The sequence below is a fragment of the Homo sapiens genome, chromosome 5, assembly GCF_000001405.40.
Source record: "Homo sapiens chromosome 5, GRCh38.p14 Primary Assembly".
Taxonomy (NCBI): Eukaryota; Metazoa; Chordata; class Mammalia; order Primates; family Hominidae; genus Homo; species Homo sapiens.
Genome location: NC_000005.10, coordinates 60423251 through 60450842, shown reverse-complemented (window position 1 = coordinate 60450842; position 27592 = coordinate 60423251). Strand labels below are relative to the sequence as shown.

General features: G+C 37.8%; 1 protein-coding gene and 1 pseudogene across 11 annotated transcripts in view; both read left to right on the top strand.

Moving 5' to 3' along the window:
* Positions 1 to 27592, top strand: part of PDE4D (phosphodiesterase 4D) — a 1553091-nt gene that overhangs the window by 71286 nt on the left and 1454213 nt on the right. The window contains exon 1 of one of the 11 annotated variants that reach the window (XM_011543473.2): positions 2151 to 2206. The exons of the other annotated variants lie outside the window; for them this stretch is intronic. The gene's annotated coding sequence lies outside the window, so the exon portion shown is untranslated. Of the gene's footprint in view, positions 1 to 2150; positions 2207 to 27592 lie in introns of those variants that run through there. 11 annotated transcript variants of the gene reach the window in all.
* On the top strand, positions 20541 to 20911 carry RPL31P8 (ribosomal protein L31 pseudogene 8; annotated as a pseudogene).

Genomic DNA, 27592 nt, shown 5'->3' with positions numbered 1-27592 from the left:
ATAAAGATAGCATTTATATATTTGTAGTCAAATCATTGGTTCATCCTATTTTCTGCAGTTGAAGATAGATATCACCATGTATATGGCCAATTATCTTTATCCAGTTCAATTTGGCCAGGTCAATGAAACTTGTATTTATGTCATACTCTTGTGTCATGGGAGATAGAAGAAGTATAATAGTGGCCCTAATTTACTTTTGGTAAAATTGAGGTTAAGTGATTTTCCCAAATTTATTTTGATATAAAGTAAATTGCAGATACAAGTTTTTTGGTCTCTAACCTTGTGTTATTTAATTGTTCCACAAAGAAATGCTGCATATTAAAATTATGGTTTTAAATGGCTCACTCAGCCCTTTTGTCCCTCCCTTCTCCAAGTAAAACAACTAACCCCTATTTTTCAGTTTGTTGTGAATTCAGTTTGTCCAAACTAGGCTGGGGATAGGTTAATTAAATAATTATATAGTGATTAACATGGGGTTAGAATTTATGTCAGATTGGGGCAAAACCACCTTTTGAATACCTAGAAGATAGTGAAATGTACTTAATACTAACATTGTCATGAATATCAATCACAGGTTTAGAAGTCTTTTGATATATATGAGCTAAATATGGGGTTGAATCCCCACCAATCATATCTTAACAGATTTTTTTAAAAAGGTAAGTATCTGAATCAGCTGCTTTATTTTATTTGTCTCTTTCTCATAAAAATGACAATAAAATTATGGTATGTGAACTTCTGATTATTTAGATTCCAGTTAAACAGGATTTTACTTTAGTTTCTTTTTTTTTTTTTACTGAAAAAAAATTTTATTGACTTGTTTTTTGGTGTATATAGTTCTATATATTTTAACACATGTATACATTCATATAACCATCACCACAATCATATGAAAACTCTTTTATAAACCCTCAAACTCCCACATATGACTTCTTTTTTTTTCTTTTTATTTATTTATTATTATCATACTTTAAGTTTTAGGGTACATGTGCACAATGTGCAGGTTAGTTACATATGTATACATACCATTTGACGCAGCCATCCCGTCACTGGGTATATACCCAAAGGACTACAAATCATACTGCCATAAAGCCAGGAGAATTTCTTGAGCCCAGGAGTTTAAGACCAAGCTTGGCAATATAGCAAGAGCTTATCCCTAATTTTATTTTTTATTTTATTTATTTTTTATTTTATTTATTATTATTATACTTTAAGTTTTAGGGTACATGTGCACAATGTGCAGGTTAGTTACATATGTATACATGTGCCATGCTGGTGCGCTGCACCCACTAACTCGTCATCTAGCATTAGGTATATCTCCCAGTGCTATCCCTCCCCCCTCCCCCCACCCCACAACAGTCCCCAGAGTGTGATGTTCCCCTTCCTGTGTCCATGTGTTCTCATTGTTCAATTCCCACCTATGAGTGAGAATATGCGGTGTTTGGTTTTTTGTTCTTGCGATAGTTTACTGAGAATGATGATTTCCAATTATTATGAAGAGAGAGAATAATGGTTTCTCACTTTTCAATTCCATTTAGAAGGAGGTTGTTTCTTTCAGAACACCAAATGAAGCTTTCTCAGTGGCCATCCTATAGGACCTTTGCACTTGAATCTCTGGTTTCTGAATTTGGGACATTTTAAAATCCTAAGATTTTTCCAGGTGATCTTTAAAAATGGGATCTAGGGAGATTTTAGCAAATTAATGGTTTCTGTGTTTAACTCTTTTAAAACATATTTTCATGATCGTGTGTGTGTGTGTGTGTGTGTGTGTGTGCGCGGGCAGTTGGGGGGGTGGGTGAAGGGGGATATGGGGAGAACAAACAATAACCAAAGAAACAATAGTGGAACTTAAAAATATTTTCTACTAACTTATTTGCTAATAATTATTCAGGCAGCTTTATGAAAGCTCTTTGGAAATTCTAGAAGTGTTTCCATTTCAGGCTTAATATATTTGGATCATAAATAAATATCAGATACCTTTTGGAGGCATTAGAAACTAAACATTATGCAAAGGCTACCCTCTGTTGCGTCAGGAGCTTGAATTGTTTTCATTAAAATATCTGCTATGAAAGCACTGAGATTAGATGGGATGCTATCAAATGTCAGAGATTTGTATTCTTGGTAGAAACTGAGATTTCATTTTCCTTCATCCCATTCTGATGCTGGCTTCCCTGAAGCAACACTCCTGTTCCAGATTTGTATGCTTGAGGTAAGTCAGAAAAGGAATTTCGGTGAGGCATGAGTTTGTTGATGAAACGTGGGGGAAAACCAAATGGACATCTTCAGAATGAAAGTGTACGTCTTTGTCTGTCTGAATGTGTGAGAAAGAAGAACACTGAACACAGTCTAAACCTCCTGCTGGTGTGATTATTGAGTAGTGTTGATGGCCAAAATATGAATGAAGGTTTTTCTGTTGCAAAATGCTTTATGTTATGTGCAGGGCAGACATCTGTGTGCCTGCCTTAAATTTATGAACTAATAACATTCTGTTCCAAGAAATCCTGTCAGGTCTTTAACGGTACCATTTTGTTCTGAGTTATTCTGGTAAATGAATGATTTTGCTTTTAAGTAATTATTTTTTGAATTTTTAAATATAAAGTCACATATGGTTTAATGTATGGAGAGGATGCCTTTATCATCAATGAAAACTTTAAGAATTGACTGATTGCATTTTATTTTAACAAAATATCATTCATTATTTTCTTCTATTTGGAACAGATGTAAATGTTCCAATCTATTTTGGATTCAAATGAATTTTGAATCAAATAGATTTAAAATGAATCTATTTTGAATCAACAAAATAGATTCAAGCAAGTTTTATGAGTGAGATTACAGATGAATGATAATAAGCAAAATCATGAGAAAACCCAACCCAAATAATTGAGTTAGACTATACTATAAACAAAGTAAATTTAAAAACATATATCCTCAAAGAACTGTGGCCAGTAAGATAGATACTCTCTGAGGCTACCCTCCTAGTATAGTAACGGTAATTCTGCTGAAACCAATTAGGCACTGTTGAAAGCAACTTCTCGCTGCCGATGAAGGGACTGGATCCTGTAGCTTGGTGTCCTTGTCAAGTCCTCAGTGTGTACTCAGCTTGCCCCTGCTAATACACACTGGTCTTAAATAAAACAGAGTGGCAAATATTTAGAGTGAGTTTTATGTGTCTTTGGGATTTTTCCTTCCCCGCCATTGGTAAATAGCACGTTTCCTCTGCAGATCTGTGACCTTTGAGATAACTTCCCTTGTTAAACACACACTGATTTGTGTGGGTATTTGTTTTCTTTCTTTTTTTTTTCAAAAGCTATTCCTTCTTTTCTACTTTATATTCAGTTGCTTTCAACACAGAGTAAAGTCTTCTGATGAATCTCTTGTCTGTAGTTTTGAAAGGAGGGGAGAAGCAAAGGAATTAGCAATCACAAAGATAAACCTGCAAAGGCAAACTAAGTAGAAACATGTTTTTCCGTTGCAAATTATGCTTAACTACTATAGGCTGTAATCCCTATGCTGACATATCTCAGAATAAAATGTAAGTTGCTTGAGATGCTATTCTGAAGCATGTGATATGGTTTTATTGATTGATAAATTTATCCATATGATGATAGTTGTAGATTTTCAGAGGCCCCATATGGACCATTTGAAATGAAAATGTTATATTGGCAATGGATGAGAACATGCCACTTGCCCTGCTCCATACAAACTTTGATTCCTAGCAATCAGCACATGTTAGAGAGCTGGAGGCCACGGTATGGTGTGCAAGTGCTCCTGTGCTGAAGTGACACCAGAACAATCACCACATTGCCATCAGGCCGTCCATCTGAGGTAGGGTTTTCCTTCTTGTTTCAATCTTTATCATTCCTGGAGAATTTGCCAAGGCCCCCAGGGCAGTGCTGAGGCCTCCAGCGCCCCCCACAAATCTCTTTTTCTGTCCCTTCAACATTTTCAGGTCTAACTACCTGTAGTTTTCCTCTCTAATTTCTGGGCCAAAGCTTGGCAGGGGGCAGGCGCAGAATTAGGTTGAAGAGGCCAGTATGAGCAGGCATACCAAGGTCCATTGTGCTATACCAGAGGTGTTACATTAGACTAATGAAGGGATTATAGAAACTTAGCTCTCCATCTGAATTCTCTTATTAACACATCACTGTGAATCAGCCTGCTGCTTTCGGTGTTGTGTATTTTTTCCCTTTGTTACTTCTGTTACTGCTAACGATATTGGTATCATTTGTTGTATCAATGCAACTGACTTGTACTTCAAATTAATATCTCAACCAACCTAGAATTTCTTGTCTAGCTATGGTAGGTAGTATGGGGTGGTAGTGGTGTTGTCTCAGGCTAGTATATGATAATATGATTTTGAAGTCTGTTTTCCCCCCCATTTAACGAACTAGTGTGAACATCTATCCATGCCTTTTAAACACTTTTCTCCAAGATAATTTTTTATAGTTTTTTAATGGTTAAATAACATTAACTTAGCCAATGAAATTTAAAATATTTTGCTACTGTAAAAATTATTGTGTATCTCCTGGTAGTTAAATCAGGATTATTTCCTTAGGATGCAGAGCTTGTATGTTAAGGAGTATAGTTATTCATAAAGGTTTGATTTTTTTGGCCAAATTGCTCTCCAGAAAGTTTTTTTCCCCTTCAGTTTATTCTCCTACCAGCAGTGCATGAGAGGGCACATTTTCCCGTATCTTAAGTAGTGTTGTTTTCTAAAAATGTTGCCAATCTGATATGGGGAAAATGGCATTTCACTGTGGTTTTTCTGTGTTTGTTAAGTCACTAGTGAGGTTGGGTAGTTTTATCCTTTGCAAATTGCCTATCAATGTTCCTTACTTATTTTTCTTTTGAGATGCTTATTTTCCAATTAATTTTACTGACAATTTTTATATAGTACAGATAGTAATCCATGTGTCTATAGGTTGTTTATAATGTAAATATTTTTTTCCAAGTTTCTTAGTCACTTTTTGACTTTTTCCCTTGGGTATATTTTTACATGAGAAGTTTTTGTGCATGTGATTGAGTCTTTTTTAATTGTGGTAAGAACATTTAACATGAGACTTGCCCTTTAAAATGTGTTTATGTCTATAATACAGTATTATTAACTATGGGCATAATGTTGCCCAGCAAATCTCTAGGACTTAATCATTTTACATAACTGGAACTTTATACCCTCTGAATAGCAAATCCCCATTTCCCCCTTCCCCAGCCCCTGGGCAGTGGTTGAGTCTTTGATGTTTTCCTTTTAAAGTTTCTGCCTTTGGAGTTAGTTTAGAAATGACTTCATCATCCCAAGATCACACACACTTTTCCTACATTTTCTTCCAGTTTCTTTATTTTACATGCAAATCTTAATCCATCTGGAATTTATTTTGTTGTATAGGAGTGCAAGAATTTAACTTTATATTTTTCTCAGATAGTTTTCCACTTGCCAGTGGAATAATGATTTGTTGAATAATCTATCCTTTGCTTTTTAAGTTTTACCTTGAAAAAACATAATATAAAATTTTGGATCTAGTTTTTTAATATAATTCATTGATTTCTCTTTTTGTTGGACAGCATAACATTGTTTTAATTACTGTAATGCAGTTAAACATCTGATAGCTTGAATCATTCTTATCTTTTTCAAACATTTCTTGGCAGTTTCTTTCATCATCTCCTGACCAGATGGTCGTCATAATGTCTTAATTGCTCATTCTACCATTGGTCTCACTTGCTTCTAATCCATTCACAACAAAGTTGGCTGAATTGTTGTTCTAAAACACAAATTGGATCACGTTACGCCCTGCTTGTTGTGTATACATACTTCCAGCTATTTTTATCAACTAAAAATGAGCCCTTTGCCTATAACAAGATTTTAACCTGAAGTCCAAGCAATTTCTGAACTTCAGAGTGTTTGTAGACACCATTTCGGTGATTTTTTTTTTTTTTTTCTGAGTAGAGGATTGATAGCATCATAGATTTTGAAAGAGCCATGACTCCAAAGCATTAATAACCTCTGTGCCACAGGAAGAAAGTCAGACCCCCCAGAACGGCTTGTCAGTAGCAGGTCCTCCCCTGGTTGACATTTCTTTCTTACCTGCCTGCCCTCTCCCTGACCACTCTTCCACATCCCCACCCTTCCCCTCCTGGACTGCTTGCAATTGTCTATCCAGTCTGCTGTTTCACACCCCAGTGCCTTTTTACATGTTATTCCTTCTGCCAAAGTGTTCTCCCACACATACCTCGCCCATCTGGAAAATGGTTCCTTGTCCTTCAAACAACAATCAAAGAGCCTCCTCCTCTATGAAACTTTGTCTGATCCCCTTAAGCAATGCTGATCTCTCTCCTTTATTTTTAACCACTGTACTTAATCTGTATTTTACCGTGACTCTTCTACTCTTCCTCCTCTACTGGTACTATAATATCTTTGGGAATAAGGACTGTGTTTTTGTAACCACAGAGCCCACTGCCTGGCATAGCATAGGCACTCAGTGAATGCTTGATGAACAGAAGAATGGATGCAAACAATGAATGTATGGCAGGACATAGCCCTGGTGAAATCACTGGCAGGGGCTTGTGTGAAGTAACTGCATAAGAAAAAAACAGCATGCTGTTAGAGGTGAAGGGACCAGCTTTGAGTTTAACAGAAGTAAGGACAGAATGGGTGAAGCCATAATGTCAACTTTGAAATATCACCATTTATTAAGAAACCACATTTGAAGTTCTAGGATCCTTAAATGAAGGCGCTTTTCACCAAATACTTTTCTAAATTTCCTGGGGTGTTTATAACATGGAGGACCTATTTCCTGAGCTACCAGAGTCCTAACACATACCTAATTATGAGTTGGTCACCAAGAGTTATCAGTAATCACAAGTAATGAAAGCATGGCTTTGGGTGAGTGGGTGGGTAGGGTGGGTGAGGTGGGATATGCCATGTTTTGGACCAAAGCTGTCCACATTGATGTGTAGCCATTGTTTTCATGATTCTAGCACCCAGTGGATGTTGAGTAAATATTTTGTGAGTAATTGAATGCTGAGTGTGTAGCTGGGGGTATGACAGCCAGCTAACTGTCATGTCTACTTTCTCAGCTCTCTGAGATGGCAATGCTAATTTTGCTGGAGAAAGTAGCATCACTGTTTTACTTGGTTCCCTCTGTTCATACTGCCTAATTTTAGCTAGTTCTTATTATTACTTGCTTTGTTTACTTCTTGGATTCTTTATCGCATTACCTGTGGTGTCACCCACTGTCTTACTCTGGGCAAATGAACCTTGTTTTTTTGAGAATGTTAAGTTCATCTGACATAAGCCGCTCAATTTCACTCCTCAAATTCTTCTACATCAGCATTCTTTTCTCTACCCTGGGGAAAAAGAACCTCCTCATTTAAGTGTGCTTTCTCTTCTTCTTAAATATTGCCTAAGCAACTTTTTAACTTTTAATCTCTCATTGTCCATTTACCTCTTTCTTTGTTTGCAGACATCATTAGAATCTCCATCCTTGAAACAGCTCAATAAACAAAAATTTTGCTTGACTTTACTAGTTGAATACCTTAACGTTCACTTTTCTTTTTACCTCCAAACTTCTTGAATGACCTATGACCACTATCTACACCTTTTCTTCATACACTGAGGTCTGGAAATCTTTATTACCTGGTTTCTTCTCTCAGTCTCCAAATTATTAAAAAGTCAATTTCTCAGTTTTCATTTTTCTTCACCTCTTGATAACACTTGAAACCATTAAAATTCCCCTTTATTTTGAATGGGCTCTTTCTTAATGTCTATCACACTCAACTGTCTATTTGCTCGTATCTTTCTGTTTTATTTTCTGTTTCTTCCGTGGTCCTCTTTCTGATGTCCTGAGAGTGGATATTAAGTTGCACCATGTCTGCAGGGATGACACCCCAACCCTAACCTTCAAGTCAGGCCTCTTTCCTATGTTCAGATCTACTGTTTCTGGAAAGCTCTACCATCTGCCCCACAAAAGCTTCAACATTAATAGAAATTCCGTATAATTTAAAACAAAATTCCACCTATATTTTCTTTCAAATAAATGTTTAATTTGAAATATTTACATTAATGATGCAACCATTTTTCTATCCACCCAAACTTGAGACCTAAGAATGAGTTGTTTGCTGATTCTTCTCTCATAGCCAACCATTTCAATGTTCTCTGATTTCTACTGTTACCCAGGCTTTGCTTTACATTCCCACTTTTATAGTGCTTATCTAAACCCTTACTTTTGGCCTTTAATATTGTATTGGCTATTTATTTATTATTTTATTATTATACTTTAATTTCTGGGATACATGTGCAGAACGTGCAGGTTTGTTACATAGGTATACACGTGTTGTGGTGGTTTGCTGCACCTATCAACCGTCATCTACATTAGGTATTTCCTCTATCCCTCCCCTAGTCCCCCCACCCCCTGACAGGCCCTGGTGTGTGATGGTCCCCTCCCTGTGTCCATGTGTTCTCATCGTTCAACTCCCACTTATGAGTGAAAACACGTGGTGTTTGGTTTTCTGTTCTTATGTTAGTTTGTTGAGAATGATGGTGTCCAGCTTCATCCGTGTCCCTGAAAAGGACATGAACTCATCCTTTTTTATGACCGCATAGTATTCCATGGTATATATGTGCCACATTTTCTTTATCCAGTCTATCATTGATGGGCATTTGGGTTGGTTCCAAGTCTTTGCTATTGTGAACAGTGCCACAATAAACATACGCGTGCATGTGTCTTTATAGCAGCATGATTTATAGTCCTTTGGGTATATACCCAGTAATAGGAATGCTGGGTCAAATGGTGTATCTGGTTCTAGATCCTTGAGGGATCACCACACTGTCTTCCACAATGATTGAACTAATTTACACTCCCACCAACAGTGTAAAAGCATTCCTATTTCTCCACATCCTCTCCAGCATCTGCTGTTTCCTGACTTTTTAATGATTGCTATTCTAATTGGCATGAGATGGTATCTCATTGTGGTTTTGATTTGCGTTTCTCTAATGACCAGTGATGATGAGCTTTTTTTTCATACGTTTGCAGGGGGCATAAATGTCTTCTTTTGAGAAGTGTCTGTTCATATTCTTCACCCTCTTTTTGATGGGGTTGTTTGGTTTCTTTCTTGTAAATTTGTTTAAGTTCCTTGTAGATTCTGAATATTAGTCCTTTGTCAGATGGATAGATTGCAAAAATTTTCTCCCACTCTGTAGGGTGCCTGTTCACTCTGATGATAGTTTCTTTTGCTGTGCAGAAGCTCTTTAGTTTAATTAGATCCCATTTGTCTATTTTGGCTTTTGTTGCCATTGCTTTTGGTGTTTTAGTCATGAAATCTTTGCCCATGCCTATATCCTCAATGGTATTGCCTAGGTTTTCTTCTAGGCTTTTTATGGTTTTAGGTCTTACGTGTAGGTCTTCAATCCATTTTGAATTAATTTTTGATAAGGGGTAAGGAAGGGGTCCAGTTTCAGTTTTCTGCTTATGGCTAGCCAGTTTTCCCAACACCATTTATTAAATAGGGAATCCTTTCCCCATTGCTTGTTTTTGTCAGGTTTGTCAAAGATCAGATGGTTGTAGATGTGTGGTGTTATTTCTGAGCCTCTGTTCTGTTCCATTGGTCTATATATCTGTTTTGGTGCCAGTACCGTGCTATTTTGGTTACTGTAGCCTTGTAGTATAGTTTGAAGTCAGGTAGCGTGATGCCTCCAGTTTGTTCTTTTTGCTTAGGATTGTCTTGGCTATACAGGCTCTTTTTTGGTTCCATAAAGATGCTTTTCCTGGCTTTAGTTGTTTCTTCTCTAGGATATTCTTTACATCGCAACCAGAATAAGTCATCAAAGGTCCAATTATGCCACATTCTTGCTCAAAGATCTTCAATGAATCTTGATTTCTATGTGATAATGGTTAATTTCCTACATGTTTAACATGTACTCTGAAGCTAGACTGCCAGGATTTTGATCCTGGTCCCACTACTTCCTAGTTTTGTAACCTTGGAAAAATTATTCAACTCCTTTGTGCTTTAGTTGCCTCGGTGAAAAATGGGGATAATCATAGTGCTGCCTTATAGGGTTGTTGTAATAATTAAATGATTATCCTGCACATAGTAAACAGTCAATGAATTTATGCTATTATTATTAGTCTGCTATTTGTGGGCTTTCATATTTTGTCTCAAATCCAACCTTCTCTTTACTCACTATTTCTAAACACATTGTGCATTTTTCAATATATATGCATTTCAATATCTATCTTTTGCTTCCTCTGCCTGTAATACCCTTTTCTACGCCCTATCTCTCCTGTGTCTTTAGAAATTCTATCAGTTCTTCAAATGAACCTCAAATAGACTTCCTCCACGATCCTTCACCTATCATACCAGGATTGTTTATGTTTCTGAAATTTCACAGCCTATCTTATACTTTTCCTGTTTACTTGATTCATGTTGGCTTAGTTTAATTACACACGAAGAAATCTTGTGTTGCCTGATGGACTGTAAACTCCTTGAAAACAGGGTTTGTGTTTATTTTTTTTGTATTCTAAAGTAACAAGGAAAGTTCTCCAAACATAAATGTAATAGGTATTTGTTGAATGAATATAGAAGGAAGGGTGTAGGTTTTGGATAAGAAATCATCATTATCAAACTAGTCAAAAATGACAAGAGTATTGTTTTGGATGCATAAGTATAGAATTAGTACCTCTCACTCATCCCCCACTAAGACGTTTTTGTCGTTAGCTTGCTGCTAACTGGGCTCTGGCTGTTACCTCGCAAAGACTCTGAAGTAGGAAAGAGCTTGGCACATTTAGAAACTCACAGATCATCAATGCTGTAGTGAAGTGAAGGAGGGAGAAAGTACCATGGGTTGAAGTTAGAGAGTTGGAGAGAGATAGGATAGGTCACTGGAACTTTCAGGCCAAGTTATGCAGTTTAGGGTTTTTTTTTTTTGTTTTTTTTTTTAAACAATGGAAAGCCTTTGAAGGGTTTTAAGCTGGGGAATAAAAAGATAATACTTTACTTTTAAAATTGCACCCAGGATGGATGGAAGACAGAGAGTGGGAAGATGAGTGAAAGCAGAGAAAACAGTTGGGCACTCTTGTAGGTGAGAGACTGCATGGCCGGGGCTCAACTGGCAACAGTGGAGATGGAGAGAGGTGGGTGGAATTGAGATTTATTTTGAAAGTAGAATGGACAGGATTTGCTGAAGAAATGTTAGGGAAAAGAAAGAAAGCAATTTGATATGATGTCTCAGTTTCTCACTCAAACATCTACATGGATGTTGTGGCCATATTTCTTATTTAACTTATGGATGAAAGAAGGTTTCATATAGCAGATAATTTCCAACAATTCTTAGGCATCAATTTACCTGACAATACAAAACTCTGATGCCATTTGGGATAGAATGAATTGTTCCTATATGACTTCCAGAGACTGAGTCATTGTGGGTGCTTGTCATGCAGTACTCACTGAGGTGTAGGAGGATAGCTTCATGGAGAAGATATATCTTGAGGTGGATCTAGAATGAATATCAAGCTAAATTTAAAATTATTAAGGATGGAATGAAGTTTATATTCATTATCCACAGTCCATTTGTATCAATTTTCTGGGATGTCTATTATCCTGTAAAAAACATGTATTTCCGCAGTTATAAGAGCTTTGATATTGGTGTGAAAACAATGGTCCCTAATTAAGCCATAAGGTATTTTGGGAATTTAAACAAATGTTTGGTGGTTATCAACTGGGAACTTCTGGAGAGGTGAAATATTGTATCGGGGACGCATTGTTCTTTTTAAAGGCCACACGGTGTTCTACTTATATGTCATATCATGTACATAGCCAGTTCCTTCCTGGTGGACATTTAGGTTGTCTCAACCTTTTCCTATCTCCAACAGTGCATGCTTGTGCAAGTATATCCGTAGGACAAAATCTTAAGGGTAGAATTATTAGATAAAAGCAGTTACCAAATTTACCAATCTTCCTTTCCAGAAGATTGTCTGGGAATGACTGCTTTTCTTACCACCCTACCAACACAGGTGCTAATCTCATAGGAAAAAAAATGCTACTTTGTTTTAATTTTAATTCATGTTTCTTTTGTCAGGAGTACAATCAAGCACCTTCCTCCTATTAATATGTTTATTTCCTCTTCTCACTTTTAACCATTCTTCAACCTCTACAATTATGAGAAAGTAATGACTGTCAAAAAAAAAATTGCTCATTTTTTCTGACATCTTTCAAGGCCCTGAATAGACGTCCTAATTTCCAGGTCTGTGTAGACTGACTTGGGTTACTCAGGTAATGGCCTCTCTTCTGTTGATGAACACACGTATTGAAGCATGTATATGCCAGGCTCAGTACTAGACACAAGGGGTACAGTCAATGAACAAAATACACACAATATTCTACCCTCATAGAGCTTACATTTTAAAGGGGGAAGCATACAAAAAATAAATTAGCTAAAAATATAAATATCAAGTGGTAATAGTACCACACAGAAGAATAAAGCAGAGTAAGGGTTTAGATGGTGAAGATAGGAGAGCTGCTCTTTTACATGAGGTTAACAGGAAAGGCATTTCCAAGTACTTCTCCCTGCTTCTTTCTCATCTGTGTGCTCTAGTTTTACTCTCCCTCCCTTGTTTGATCCCTATTATTACTTGCAAGTGTAAATTCCCTAATGCAGAACATGGTTAGCATTTGGTTAATGGCTTTCCCGTAATAATTGCATTAAAATGATTTCTCTCCACTATGAATTATCTGACATGTCAGAACAGACGAATGCTATCTAAAGGCTTTTTAAAATCTGTTAAATTTATAGGGCATATTCCAGCCCTCACCAAGGGTCACTTCACTCCATTCTCAGATAGTGCCCACTGTCCTGCATTTGCCTGCTGTCAATCACAAAAGAGATGGCTTCTTAATGAGGCTGGTTTATGACTTTTTTCCTTAAGACAAAGTCAGTCTTCTTTTGCAAAAGTTGTTCTAATGAAGGAAAGTAGAAATAAAAATTCATCATAGCTTCTATGGCCAGACATAAAATGTCTACAGCAGGATTGATATGGAAACATAAGCTTTTATTAATTTGTTTATCTGGATGCTTCTGAAGCTAGAAAGAAAGACTTTCACCATGGAAGCACTGGCAACTGAATTTCCATAATGGATTCAAAGATCTAAAGAATATCCTCAATTTACATATTCTTTCTGAATTTATGTTCAAAGAAAGGGTATTAATATAAACATAAAGTAAAATAAGACAAAGCCCAAGTGTATTAAGACTATTCAAGGCCTGCCATGCAAATTGCAGTGGAAAAGTCTACCAGTAGGTTATTGGGAAACAGAGAGAACCTTGGAGTCCAAAGATAGGAGAGGATACCCACCACTAACTTTCAATGAAACCACAAGCTGGCCACTTAGCTTTTCTTGTGCTGTAGAGTCAAATGTGAAACAATAGGCTTTATTTATTTAATACTTTGTATAAGGCACTTTGCTCAGTACATTATATATTGTCTCATCCTCATAGTGAGCCTGAAGGGTAGTAATTTCATTGTACCTTACAGATGAATAAACTTAGACTTAGAGACCGGTCAAATAGCCTGCCCAAAACAACCAGTTAATAAATGGAATTGGGATTTAAACTTAGATTTGTCTGATTCCAAAGCTTGTGCCCAACCAGTGTTTATTGAGTACCTTCCAAAGAGCCAAGCAACAGTTTGAAATAGGTTCACATATGTTCAACTATCACAACAACCAGATAGAGTAGATATTCTGTTGAAGATGAGGAAATGATGTGGGGGAGAAAAAGTGATTGTGTGGGGGAGAAAAAGTGATTGTGTTGAGGTCACACATCTAGAGTGGTCGAGTCAGAATATGTGTGAACTCAAGACCTCTAGCTCCAAACCTATGAATTTTGTTTTTAAAACATGACTATAGTCTATTCTCTGTACAATGTTCATAATATTTTTTCTGCCAGTTGCCTGCTCCCTTTAGGTAAAGGGATAATTAGCAGAGATTCCTTGCAGAAAAGTGTCAAATATCAGCACTTAAAAACAGTGCTGAATTTTCCCGTTATTTAGCCCATTACTTCATTGAGCCTAATTTCATGCTTCTAAAAACAGCATAAGTTCTGTGGGTAGTGTTCAGTATGCTTCAGTGAACCGAATGCATCCTAGTGGCCTGAGAAGACTCCTACTGCTTCTAAACATGTATGAATAATGGTTGCCACCTGCAAGTAGCTTAGGCAGTGGGCAATCATACTTCAATTCTAAAGGGTGTGGAAGGGATGAGTATTTTCTGTTTGAAGCTCAAGCTAGATTAAATGAATTCTTGATCTTAATCTACTTTGAACTCTACTTGGAACACATCATGAGTTGTTTTGGCTTACTATTAATTTTTAAATACAAATACAGTGCTCTTGTATTGAAAGCATAGGATTTTGTGTAGGAGAAAATTTGAATGTCTTGAAAACATTCAAAGGAGAGCTCAGGGAAATAAATGAAAGCTGGTGGATTTCTAAAAATCTTTATTGAGGATTAATATTAGAAACTTGCTGTACAGTCTAACTGATTTTTGACTTTGTTTCTGGGCTATTGGTTTCATATAAGACACTATTAGTAATTTCAGAACAAATAATATGGCCACATTTCTTGTTCCTAATAAATTGGTACTACTTGGGATCAATGGATGATTGTTGTCATTCCCCAAAAGATTTTTTAACAGCAGAACCAGAAAACTAATTCACAAATTATCAATATTCAGCACTTTGATAAATTCAGATGAATTTGCCTACCTAAAGAAATGCTACCTGAAAAGCTTCTCTGGCAGGCTTCTCCAGAGTTTCATTATCTACTCTGAACTTTTGTTTACATAGCAATCATTTCTGCTGTGTTCCTTTTCCCTACTAGCCTTGGTAGGCTTCTTAGCTGAATTGTCCTGAAACCTATAAACCAGCCCTGGAGGCTCTGAAAAATTAAAGATCTGTCTTTTTTGTTCTGTTTAATAAATGTTAGCTTAAGAAAGTCTGCAATGGAAGAACACTCAACTTGTCCTAAATGATTCTCTCATTTATTCAGGTTGCAAATAGAAAGAGGTATTTCCCAATTTGCAATAAAATATTGGACTTTAATTTCTAAAAAAAAATCTTGAAAGCTACATACTCCATAGACTTCTAAGCAAAGAGAGTCAAGAGACATTCATCTTCTTGAATCTTCATTAATCTTCACGTCCTAAATAATTCTCTCATTTATTCAAGTTGCAAATAGAAAGAGGTATTCCCCAATTAGAAATAAAATATTGGGCTTCAGTTTCAAAAAAAAATCTTGAAAGCTACATGCTCCATAGACTTCTAAGCAAAGAGAGTCAAGAGACAATCATCTTCATAACTAACACCAATTGTCATAAAGCTTCCAAATGTAAACCTAAACTTTTTGTTAGGAGTAAAAATAAAAAAGCCAAACAAATGAAAAGCTGTGAACTTTCTAAAACATCTTAAAGATTCTCTGGAAATTTAAACATTTAAGTTATATGTTAAGTTGTGTCTATCAAGCAGGTACTTTAGAAAAAGGGAAGATTTAAACAATTTAAATATATGCTCTAGTTGTTTGATTTAAAATGCTTTTTGTGCCAAAGAAATTCAGGATAGAGATTTAGTAATCAGAGTTGAAAAATGCATAACACATTGTTCTAGTAATTCCCATCATTCAAAAGGAACCATCTGTACTGAATATTCTTAGATAGTTTTTCAAGTTCGGTTTTACATTGCAGACATAAAGGAACTACTTTTGTATCTCTTAGACAACAATTCTGTTATAGAAGTTTACAGGCTAATGGCAAACACATCTCATAATTGTCCTTCCAGTTTCTTGACCCATGTTTACTTCCCTTTAATTTCATGCCATAAGTCAGTGCTCTTGACAAAGTATACTCTGAACATATTTATAAATCATTATTTTTTCCAAGCAGTTAATCTCTAACTCCCTTTTTCATTTCTGTATCTCCATCAGCATTTTCTTTGCAGGGTTCAATACTCTTAATTTGACATACAGACCCATCCCTGAGAGCAAGGGAGAGAGAGGAAAGCCCTGGCCTTTCTTTTTGTACCTTGATTTTTTCCATTCAAACTCATCATTGTTGGTGCATTGAAATCTGGAGGTTTGAGTGAGAGATGGAATCAGAGAGATTTAGGAATGGATTCAGATTCTACAACTAAAAACCATTAGGATGCCTATGAGCTTTGTTTTCTGCATAATATCTGAATTACAAATTGTATTTAACAAGTAAAACTAAGTTGTGTCCGACTAATTGAAAACCACTTTGGTTAATGTTACCTCTTTTTGTGTCCATTTAAATCCATTAAATCTTTCTTACTTTTGCCTTTAAAATTAGAGTAATCTATACAATTCATGCTACTGACTCTGCCTTTTAAAACACACAAATATTAAAAAAAAAAGAGACATGTTCTGGTGTCTTCCCCTCAGCCCAGTGAGATGTGTTACACAGTAGTCTTTGTTATCAGCCTTTGGTTTCTGATAATTTAGAAAGCTTTCAATCCCCATCACTTATGAAAGTCTGTGAACAATAATTTTTATTTAAAGATTTCTTACAGTGCCGAATCTTACAACCATTTATAAATTCATGTCATGTTTTCTTAAAGTTACAGAACTCTTTTCAATTTTTAAGCCTTAACCTCTTGTCTGCATAGCAAATCCTATTTATTTTTTAAAAAGCTGAATTCAAGTGTCATCTCTTAAATGAAGATTCCTGATCATGTCAATCAAAGAGAGCTTTCTCCTCTGAAATCTTTTTTTTTTAAATATTAGTTTCAGGGGCACATGTTTAAGTTTGCTCTAATAGATAAATGGTGTGTTTTGGGGGTTTGGTGTACATATTATTTCGTCACCCAGGTAATGAGCATAGTACCCAATATGTAGTCTTCTGATCATCACCTTCCTCCTACCCTCCACCCTCAAATAGGCCCCGCTGTCTGTCCTTCTCTTCGTTGTGTCCATGTAACTCAATGTTTAGCTCCCAATTATAAATGAGAACATGCAGTATTTGGTTTTCTGTTCCTGTGTTAGTTCTCTTAGGATAATGGCCTCCAGCCGCATACATGTTGCTGCAAAGGACATGATCTCATTCTTTTTTATGGTTGCATAGTATTCCATAATGTATATGTACCACATTTTCTTTATTCAGTCTAATGTTGTTGACCATTTTGGTTGATACCTTGTCTTTGTTATTGTGAATAGAGCTGCAATGAACATATGCATGTGTGTATCATTATGGTAGAATGATTTATATTCCTTTGGGTACATACCCAATAATAGGACTGCTGGGTCAAATGGTGGTTCTGTTTTAAGTTCTTCGAGAAATTGCCAAACTGCTTTCCACAGTGGCTGGACTAATTTACATTCCCACTAGCAGTGTATAAATATTCCCTTTTCTTTGCAGTATCACCAACAACTGTTACTTTTTGACTTCTTAATAATAGCCATTCTGACTGGTGTGAGATGATATCTCATTGTGGTTTTGATTTGCATTTCCCTAATGATTAGTGATGATGAGTATTTTTTCATATGCTTGTTGGCCGTGTAAATGTCTTATTTTGAAAAGTGTCTTTGCCCACTTTTTAATGGGCTTGTTTGTTTTTTTGCTTGTCAATTTGTCTAAGTTCCTTATAGATTCTGGATATTAAACCTTTGCCAGATGCACAATTTGTAAATATTTTCTCCCATCCTGTAGGTTGTCTATTTACTTTGTTGATAGTTTCCTTTGCTGTGCAGAAGCTCTTTAGTTTAATTAGGTCCCACTTGTCAATTTTTGTTTTTGTTGCAATTGCTTTTGGCATATTCATCATAAAATCTTTGCCAGGGCCTATGTTTAGAATGGTATTTCCTAGGTTTTCTTCAATGGTTTTTATAATTTTACATTTTACATTTAAGTGTCTAATCCATCTTGAGTTGATTTTTGTATATGATCTAAGGAAGCTGTCCAGTTTCAGTCTTTGGCATATGATTAGCCAGTTGTCCCAGAACCATTTATCGAATAGGGAGTCCTTTCCCCATTGCTTGTTTTTGTCAACTTTGTTGAAGATCAGATGGTTGTAAGTGTGTGGGTTTATATCTGGGCTCCCTATTCTGTTCCAGTGGTCTATGTATCTATTTTTGTACCTATACCATGCTGTCTTGGTTACTGTAGCATTGAAGTATAGTTTGAAGTTAAGTGATGTGATTCCTCCAGCTTTATTCTTTTTTGCTTAGAATTGCTTTGGCCATTTGGGCTCTTTTTGGGTTGCATATGAATTTTAGAATAGTTTTTTCTAGTTCTGTAAAGAATATCATTGTTCATTTGACAGGAATAGCATTGCATATGTAAATTGATAAATTCCTGAAAACATTCAACCTCTCGAGACTGAACCAGGAAGAAATTTAAACCCTGATCAGACCAATAGCAAGTTCCAAAATTGAATCAGTAATAAAAAGGCTACCAGCCAGAAAAAGCCTTGGACCACACAGATTCACAGCAAAATTCTACCAGACATATAAAGTAGAGCTGGTACCATTCCTACTGAAACTATTCCAAAAAATTGAGGAGGAGGAACTCTTCCCTAACTCATTCTATGAGGCCAGCATCATCCTGGCAAAGACAAAGCAAAGACATAACAACAACGTAAAAACTTCAGACCAATATCCTTGATGAACATAGATGCAAAAATCCTTAACAAAATACTAGCAAACTGAATCCAGCAGCACATAAAAAAAACTAATCCCCTCTCCCTCTCCCTCTCCCTCTCCTTCTCCCCACGGTCTCCGTCTCCCTCTCTTTCCACGGTCTCCCTCTGATGCCGAGCTGAAGCTGGACTGTACTGCTGCCACCTCGGCTCACTGCAACCTCCCTGCCTGATTCTCCTGCCTCAGCCTGCGAGTGCCTGCGATTGCAGGCCTGCGCCGCCACACCTGACAGGTTTTCGTATTTTTTTGGTGGAGACGGGGTTTCGCTGTGTTGGCCGGGCTGGTCTCCAGCTCCTAACCGCGAGTGATCTGCCAGCCTCGGCCTCCCGAGGTGCTGGGATTGCAGATGGAGTCTGGTTCACTCAGTGCTCAGTGGTGCCCAGGCTGGAGTGCAGCGGTGTGATCTCGGCTCGCTACAACCTCCACCTCCCAGCCGCCTGCCTTGGCCTCCCAAAGTGTCGAGATTGCAGCCTCTGCCCGGCTGCCACCCCGTCTGGGAAGTGAGGAGCGTCTCTGCCTGGCCGCCCATCGTCTGGGACGTGAGGAGCCCCTCTGCCTGGCTGCCCACTCTGGAAAGTGAGGAGCGTCTCTGCCCGGCCGCCATCCCATCTAGGAAGTGAGGAGCGCCTCTTCCCGACCTCCATCCCATCTAGGAAGTGAGGAGCGTCTCTGCCCGGCCGCCCATCGTCTGAGATGTGGGGAGAGCCTCTGCCCCGCCGCCCCGTCTGGGATGTGAGGAGCGCCTCTACCCGGCCGCGAACCCGTCTGGGAGGTGAGGAGCGTCTCTGCCCGGCCGCCCCATCTGAGAAGTGAGGAGACCCTCTGCCTGGCAACCGCCCCGTCTGAGAAGTGAGGAGCCCCTCCGCCCGGCAGCTGCCCCGTCTGAGAAGTGAGGAGCCCCTCCGCCTGGCAGCCACCCCGTCTGGGAAGTGAGGAGCGTCTCCGCCCAGCAGCCACCCTGTCTGGGAGGGAGGTGGGGGGGTCAGCCCCCCGCCCGGCCAGCCACCCCATCCGGGAGGGAGGGGTGCCTCTGCCCGGCCGCCCCTACTGGGAAGTGAGGAGCCCCTCTGCCCGGCCACCACCCCATCTGGGAGGTGTACCCAACAGCTCATTGAGAACGGGCCATGATGACAATGGCGGTTTTGTGGAATAGAAAGGGGGGAAAGGTGGGGAAAAGATTGAGAAATCGGATGGTTGCTGTGTCTGTGTAGAAAGAGGTAGACATGGGAGACTTTTCATTTTGTTCTGTACTAAGAAAAATTCTTCTGCCTTGGGATCCTGTTGATCTGTGACCTTACCCCCAACCCTGTGCTCTCTGAAACATGTGCTGTGTCCACTCAGGGTTAAATGGATTAAGGGCGGTGCAAGATGTGCTTTGTTAAACAGATGCTTGAAGGCGGCATGCTCGTTAAGAGTCATCACCACTCCCTAATCTCAAGTACCCAGGGACGCAAACACTGCGGAAGGCCGCAGGGACCTCTGCCTAGGAAAACCAGAGACCTTTGTTCACTTGTTTATCTGCTGACCTTCCCTCCACTATTGTCCTATGACCCTGCCAAATCCCCCTCTGCGAGAAACACCCAAGAATGATCAATAAAAAAAAAAAACAAACAAAAAAAAACAAAACACAAACAAAAAAGAAAGGTTTGAGCTAAGAACTTGCAGGAGACAAGGAAATTAGTCAAGCAGAAGGATATCTGGGGGAATGGCATGCGAGGCAGAAGGGAAAGCTAGGGTCGAGGCCCTCAGGGAAAGAAGCAAGGCCAAGGGGCTGGAGTAGAGGGAGGAAGAGGGGAAGTAGTGGAAGATGAGACTAGCTTTACTACTGATTATGATGTAAGAATAGTGGCCAGTTTCCTTTCCAACTTGGGCCCGGCAGAATGGCTCCTGCAAAGAAGGGTGATGAGAAGAAGAAGGGTCATTCGCCATCAACGAGATGGTGACCCGAGAATATCCCATCAACATTCATAAGTGCATTCATGGAGTGGGCTTCAAGAAGCGTGCCCCTCAGGCACTCAAAGAGCTCCGGAAACTTGCCCTGAAGGAGATGGGAACTCCAGATGCACACTTTGATACCAGGCTCAACAAAGCTGTCTGGGCCAAAGGAATAAGCAACGTCTCATACTGTATCCATGTTCGGTTGTCCAGAAAATGTAATGAAGATAAAGATTTACCAAACAAGCTCTATACTTTGGTTGCCTACGTACCTGTTACCACTTTAAAAAAATCTACAGTCGGTGTGAATGTGAACTAACTGCTAATCATCAAATATACCAAATAAAGTTATAAAATTGTTTAAAAAAAAAAACAAAAAAAAAAAAACTAATCCACCACCATTGAGCAGGCTTTATCCCTAGGATGCAAGACTGATTTCAACATATGCAAATCAATAAATGTGATTCACCACATGAACGGAATAAAAACAAAAAACACATGATCATCTCAATAGATGCAGAAAAGGCTTTTGATAAAATTCAGCAACCTTCATGTTAAAAACCTTCAAAAAACTAGGCATTGAAGGACATACCTCAAAATAGTAAGCCATCCACAACAAAACCCACAGCCAACATCACACTGAATGGGCAAAAGCTGGGAGTATTCCTCTTGAGAACTGGAACAAGACAAGGATGCCCACTCTCACTGCTCCTATTTAACATAGTATTGGAAGTCCTAGCCAGAGCAATAAGGGAAGAGAAAGAAATAAGAGGCATCCAAATAGGAAGAGAGAAAATCAAACTACCTCTGTCAAACTACCTAGAAAACCCCATAGTTTTGCCCAAAAGCTCCTAGATAACTTCAGCAAAGTTTCTGGATACAAAAATCAGTAGCATTTCTCTACACCGATAATGTCCAAGCTGAGTGCCAAATCAAGAGCATAATCCTATTCACAATAGCCACAAAAAATAACATATCTAGAAATATAGCTAACCAGTGAAGTGAAAGAGCTCTCCAATGAGAATTACAAAACACTGCTGAAAGAAATCAGAGATGACATAAACAAATGGAAAAACATTCCATGCTCATGGATAGGAAGAATCTCCTCTGAAATCTTATAGCTAGAGAAACCATAACATTTATCATACAAATTTGGCATTTTTTGAGGGTGAATGAATGGGAGAACTATTAGTAGTCACATTGGGACAATAATCATAAACTGGAACTATCCTGTGTAAACTGGATGTATTGTCACCCAAGTTATTGCCTTTTGGGATCCTAACTGTTAGTATCAAGGACTTTGGACCGAAGTCTGTCTGGTTCCAAATTCTGGTTCTCAGCATGACTTTGAGTAGATTATTATATCCTTTGCCATTCACTTATTCTTTTTATAGCTTCTTACTAAGCTTGTATTAGATGTGTGCAAATTGTAAGGCATTGGTAACACAATGGTAAATAATATTTATGGTTTGTGCTGTCATGAAGCTTACATCCAACTTTATCTACAAAGTGGGGCCAAGGATACCTACATTATGAAAATTCTTTATATCATCGTGAGAAGTAAATACTATTTGTGAAGCATTTAGTAGGATTTTCAGTATATAGGAAGTCCTCAGTGATAACTATAATTTTATTTGTATTTTTCATATGCCATTTTGTTGCATAGTCGCATGTATAATTGTAAGGTTTTTGAGAGTAGGAGGCAAGGCTTATGAACATTTACATACCTTCAGGCATCAGTATAGTAGCCTCTCATTGCATGAATGAATTTATTGAGTGAATTCCACTAAACACCAGGTATCAAACTTTTTTTTTTTCTCATTATCTCTTCTGTTTTTTGTTCCTCTGTTGTTTCTTTCCTGCTCTTTTCAGAGCATTTGAATATTTTTTAGTGTGCCATTTTATTTTTTCTATTGGCTTTTAGTTATACCCCCTTATCTCTCTGTTTATCATTTATCTTCCTTTTTAATTTAATTTTCTTGATTGCTCAAGGGCTAAAAATATGCAGCCCCTATGCATTAGAATCTATTCATACTCAGTATTGTACCTCTCCACATTTCACACTTAACATTTGACAAATGTAGTAAACTTACAACATTTTATTTCAATTTAGTCATCCTCTTTCTTTTATTTTCTTTTTATTTTTTTGAGACAGGGTCTTGCTCTCACCCAGGCTGGAGTGCAATGGCACAATCATGGCTTACTGTAGCCTCAAACTCTGGGGCTCAAGCAGTCCTCCTGCCTCGGCCTCCTGAGTAGCTGGGACTCAGTCATGTGCCACCACACCTAGTTAATTTTTTATTTTTATTTTTAGTAGACATGAAGTCTCACTATATTGCCCAGGCTGGTCTCAAACTCCTGGGCTCAAATGATCCTCCCTGCTCTGCCTCCCAAAGTGCTGGGATCACAGGCATGAGCCACAACACCTGGCCTCATCTCCCTTTCTTTGTATGGTTATTGTCATATTCATTATTTTAACATGTCATAACCCCAACCTTAGAGTGTTTTCACTTTTGCCTTAAATAGTAGTCTTTAAGGAAATTCTAAGAAAGAAAACATACTACTTTATATTTAGTAATTTACTTAACATTTCCAGTGCTCTTTTTCTTTCTTACTGTAGATCTGAATTTCCATCTGGTATCAGTTATCTTCAACTTTTTGTATTTCTTATAGTGTAGGTCTGCTGGTGATTAATTTTCTCAGCTTTTATTTATCTGAAAGTGCCTTTATTTTCTTCCCATTTTTGAAGAATATTTTTGTTGGTTGTAGAGTTCTGAGTTAACAGCTTTGTTTTCGTTTTTCCTTTCAGCGATTTAAAAATTCCATGCCATTGGGGTTTTCAGTCCCCACTGTTTCTCATAAGCCCATGATCATTCTTATCCTTGTTCAACTGTACGTAATGTGTGTCTTTCCTCTGGATGCCCTTAATATTTCCTCTTTATCTTGGATGTGCTGCAGTTTTACTACAATGTGCCTGGGTGTGGTTTTCTTTATATTTATTCTTCTTGGGGTTTGCTAAACTTCTTGGATCTGTTTGATCGTTTTGAAAAGTTTTCAGCTGTTATTCCTTCAAATATTTTTTTCTGGCCCATTCTCACTCGCTTTTCTTTCTAGGATTCCAATTACATTTACGTTAAGACTATTTGGTATTGTCCTACCTATTCCTAAATCTTAGTTCATCTTCCTGATTATTTTCCCCACTCTTCCTTTCTAAGATTAAATAATTTCTACTGATCTGTTTTAGGTTCTCTTTTCTTCTGCCATCTCTAATCAGCTATTCAGACCTGTCCACTAAATTGTTCATTTTTATTTTTTTTTAGTTCTAGAATTTTCATTTGGTTATTTTCTCTGCCTAGACTCCTCTATTCACTCCTTGAGATCATATTTCCTGTCATTCTTTGGACATATATATTTAAAATTCTTTAACATATTTACAAAAGCTGCTTTAGATTCTTTGTTTGGACATATCTGGGTAATTTTGAGATTTGTTTGTATTTACTGCTTTTTTGCTTGCCTATGTATCATATTTTCATTTTTTTAAATTATGCTTTAAGTTCTAGGGTACATGCGCACAGCGTGCAGGTTTGTTACATATGTATACATGTGCCATGTTGGTTTGCTTCACCCATCAACTCATCATTTACATTAGGTATCTCTCCTAATGCTATCCATCCCCCACCCCCCACACCCCCCAACAGGCCCTGGTGTGTGATGTTCGCCACCCTGTGTCCAAGTGTTCTCATTGTTCAATTCCCACCTATGAGTGAGAACATGTGGTATTTGGTTTTCTGTCATTGTGATAGTTTGCTGAGAATGATGGTTTCCAGCTTCATCCATGTCCCTGAAAAGGACATGAACTCATCCTTTTTCATGGCTACATAGTATTCCATGGTATATATGTGCCACATTTTCTTAATCCAGCCTATCAATGATGGACATTTGGGTTGGTTCCAAGTCTTTGCTATTGTGAATAGTGCCGCAATAGACATACGTGTGCATGTCTTTATAGTAGAATGATTTATAATCCTTTGGGTATATACCCAGTAATGGGATGGCTGGGTCAAATGGTATTTCTAGTTCCAGATCCTTGAGGAAACGCCACACTGTCTTCCACAATGGTTGAACTAATTTACACTCCCACCAAGTGTAAAGGCATTCCTATTTCTCCACATCCTCTCCAGCATCTGTTGTTTCCTGACTTTTTAATAATTGCCATTCTAACTGGTGTGAGATGATATCTCACTGTGGTTTTGATTTGCATTTCTCTGATGACCAGTGATGATGAGCATTTTTTCATGTGTCTGTTGGCTGCATAAATGTCTTCTTTTGAGAAGTGTCTGTTCATATCCTTCGCCCACTTTTTGATGGGGTTGTTTGTTTTTTTCTTGTAAACTTGTTTAAGTTCTTTGTAGATTCTGGATACTAGCACTTTATCAGATGGGTAGATTGCAAAAATTTTCTCCCATTCTGTAGGTTGCCTGTTCACTCTGATGGTAGTTTCTTTTGCCATGCCGAAGCTCTTTAGTTTGATTAGATACTATTTGTCTATGTTGGCTTTTGTTGCCATTGCTTTTTGGTGTTTTAGTCATGAAGTCCTTGCCCATGCCTGTGTCCTGAATGGTATTGCCTAGGTTTCTTCTAGGGTTTTTATGGTTTTATGTCTAACATTTAAGTCTTTAATCCATCTTGAATTAATTTTTGTATAAGGTGTAAGGAAGGGATCCAGTTTCAGCTTTCTACATATGGCTAGCCAGTTTTCCCAGCACCATTTATTAAATAGGGAATCCTTTCCCCATTTCTTGTTTTTGTCAGGTTTGTCAAAGACCAGATGGTTGTAGATGTGTGGTGTTATTTCTGAGGCCTCTGTTCTATTTCTTGGTCTATATCTCTGTTTTGGTACCAGTACCATGCTGTTTTGGTTACTGTAGCCTTGTAGTATAGTTTGAAGTCAGGTAGCGTGATGCTTCCAGCTTTCTTCTGTTGGCTTAGGATTGTCTTGGCAACGTGGGCTCTTTTTTGGTTCCATATGAACTTTAAAGTAGTTTTTTCCATTTCTGTGAAGAAAGTCATTGGTGGCTTGATGGGGATGGCATTGAATCTATAAATTACCTTGGGCAGTGTGGCCGTTTTCACAATATTGATTCTTCCCATCCATAAGCATGGAACGTTCTTCCATTTGTTTGTGTCCTCTTTTATTTCGTTGAGCAATGGTTTGTAGTTCTTCTTGAAGAGGTCCTTCACATCCCTTGTAAGTTGGATTCCTAGGTATTTTATTCTCTTTGTAGCAATTGTGAATGAGAGTTCACTCATGATTTGGCTCTCTATTTGTCTGTTATTTGTATATCAGAATGCTTGTGATTTTTGCACATTGATTTTGTATCCTGAGACTTCGCTGAAGTTGCTTATCAGCTTAAGGAGATTTTGGGCTGAGATGATGGGGTTTTCTAAATATACAATCATGTCATCTGCAAACAGGGACAGTTTGACTTCCTCTTTTGCTAATTGAATTCCCTTTATTTCTTTCTCTTGCCTGATTGCCCCAGCCAGAACTTCCAACACTAAGTTGCATAGGGGTGGTGAGAGAGGGCATCCTTGTCTTGTGCTGGTTTTCAAAGGGAATGCTTCTAGTTTTTGCCCATTCAGTATGATATTGGCTGTGGGTTTGTCAAAAATTGCTCTTACTATTTGGAGATACATTCCATCATTATGTAGTTTATTGAGAGTTTTTAGCATGAAGGGCTATCGAATTTTGTTGAAGGCCTTTTCTGCATCTATTGAGATAATCATGTGGTTTTTGTCATTGGTTCTGTTGACGTGATGGATTAGGTTTATTGATTTGAGCATGTTGAACCAGCCTTGCATCCCTGGGATGAAGCTGACTTGATTGTGGCAGATAAACTTTTTGATGTGCTGCTGGTTTCAGTTTGCCAGTATTTTATTGAGGATTTTCTCATCGATGTTCATCAGGGATAATGGTCTAAAATTCTCTTTTTTTGTTGTGTCTCTGCCAGGCTTTGGTATCAGAATGATGCTCATAAAATGAGTTAGGGAGGATTCCCTCTTTTTCTTTTGATTGGATTAGTTTCAGAAGGAATGTTACCAGCTCCTCTTTGTACCTCTGGTAGAATTCAGCTGTGAATCCATCGGGTCCTGGACTTTTTTTGGTTGGTAGGCTATTAATTATTGCCTTAATTTCAGAGCCTGTTATTGATCTATTCAGGAATTCAACTTCTTCCTGGTTTATTCTTGGGAGGGTGTATGTGTCCAGGAATTTATCCATTTCTTCTAGATTTTCTAGTTTATTTGTGTAGAGGTGTTTATAGTATTCTCTGATGGTAGTTTGTATTTCTGTGGATCAGTGGTGATATCACCTTTATCATTTTTTATTGCATCTATTTGATTCTTCTCTCTTTTTTATTAGTCTTGCTAGCAGTCTATTTTTTTGATCTTTTCAAAAAACCAACTTCTGGATTCATTGATTTTTTGAAGGGTTTTTTGTGTGTCTCTATCTCCTTCAGTTCTCCTCTGATCTTAGTTATTTCTTGTCTTCTGCTAGCTTTTGAATTTGTTTGCTCTTGCTTCTCTAGTTCTTTTAATTGTGATGTTAAGGTGTCGATTTTAGATCTTTCCTGCTTTCTCTTGTGTGCATTTAGTGCTATAAATTTCCCTCTACACAGTGCTTTAAATGTGTCCCAGAGATTCTGGTATGTTGTGTCTTTGTTCTCGTTGGTTTCAAAGAACATCTTTATTTTTGCCTTCATTTCATTATGTACCCAGTAGTCATTCAGGAGTAGGTTGTTCAGTTTCCATTTAGTTGAGCAGTTTTGAGTGAGTTTCTTAATCCTGAGTTCTAATTTGATTGCATTGTGGTCTGAGAGACAGTTTTTTGTAATTTCTGTTCTTTTACATTTGCTGAGTAGTGCTTTACTTCCAATTATGTGGTCAATTTTAGAATAAGTGTGATGTGGTCC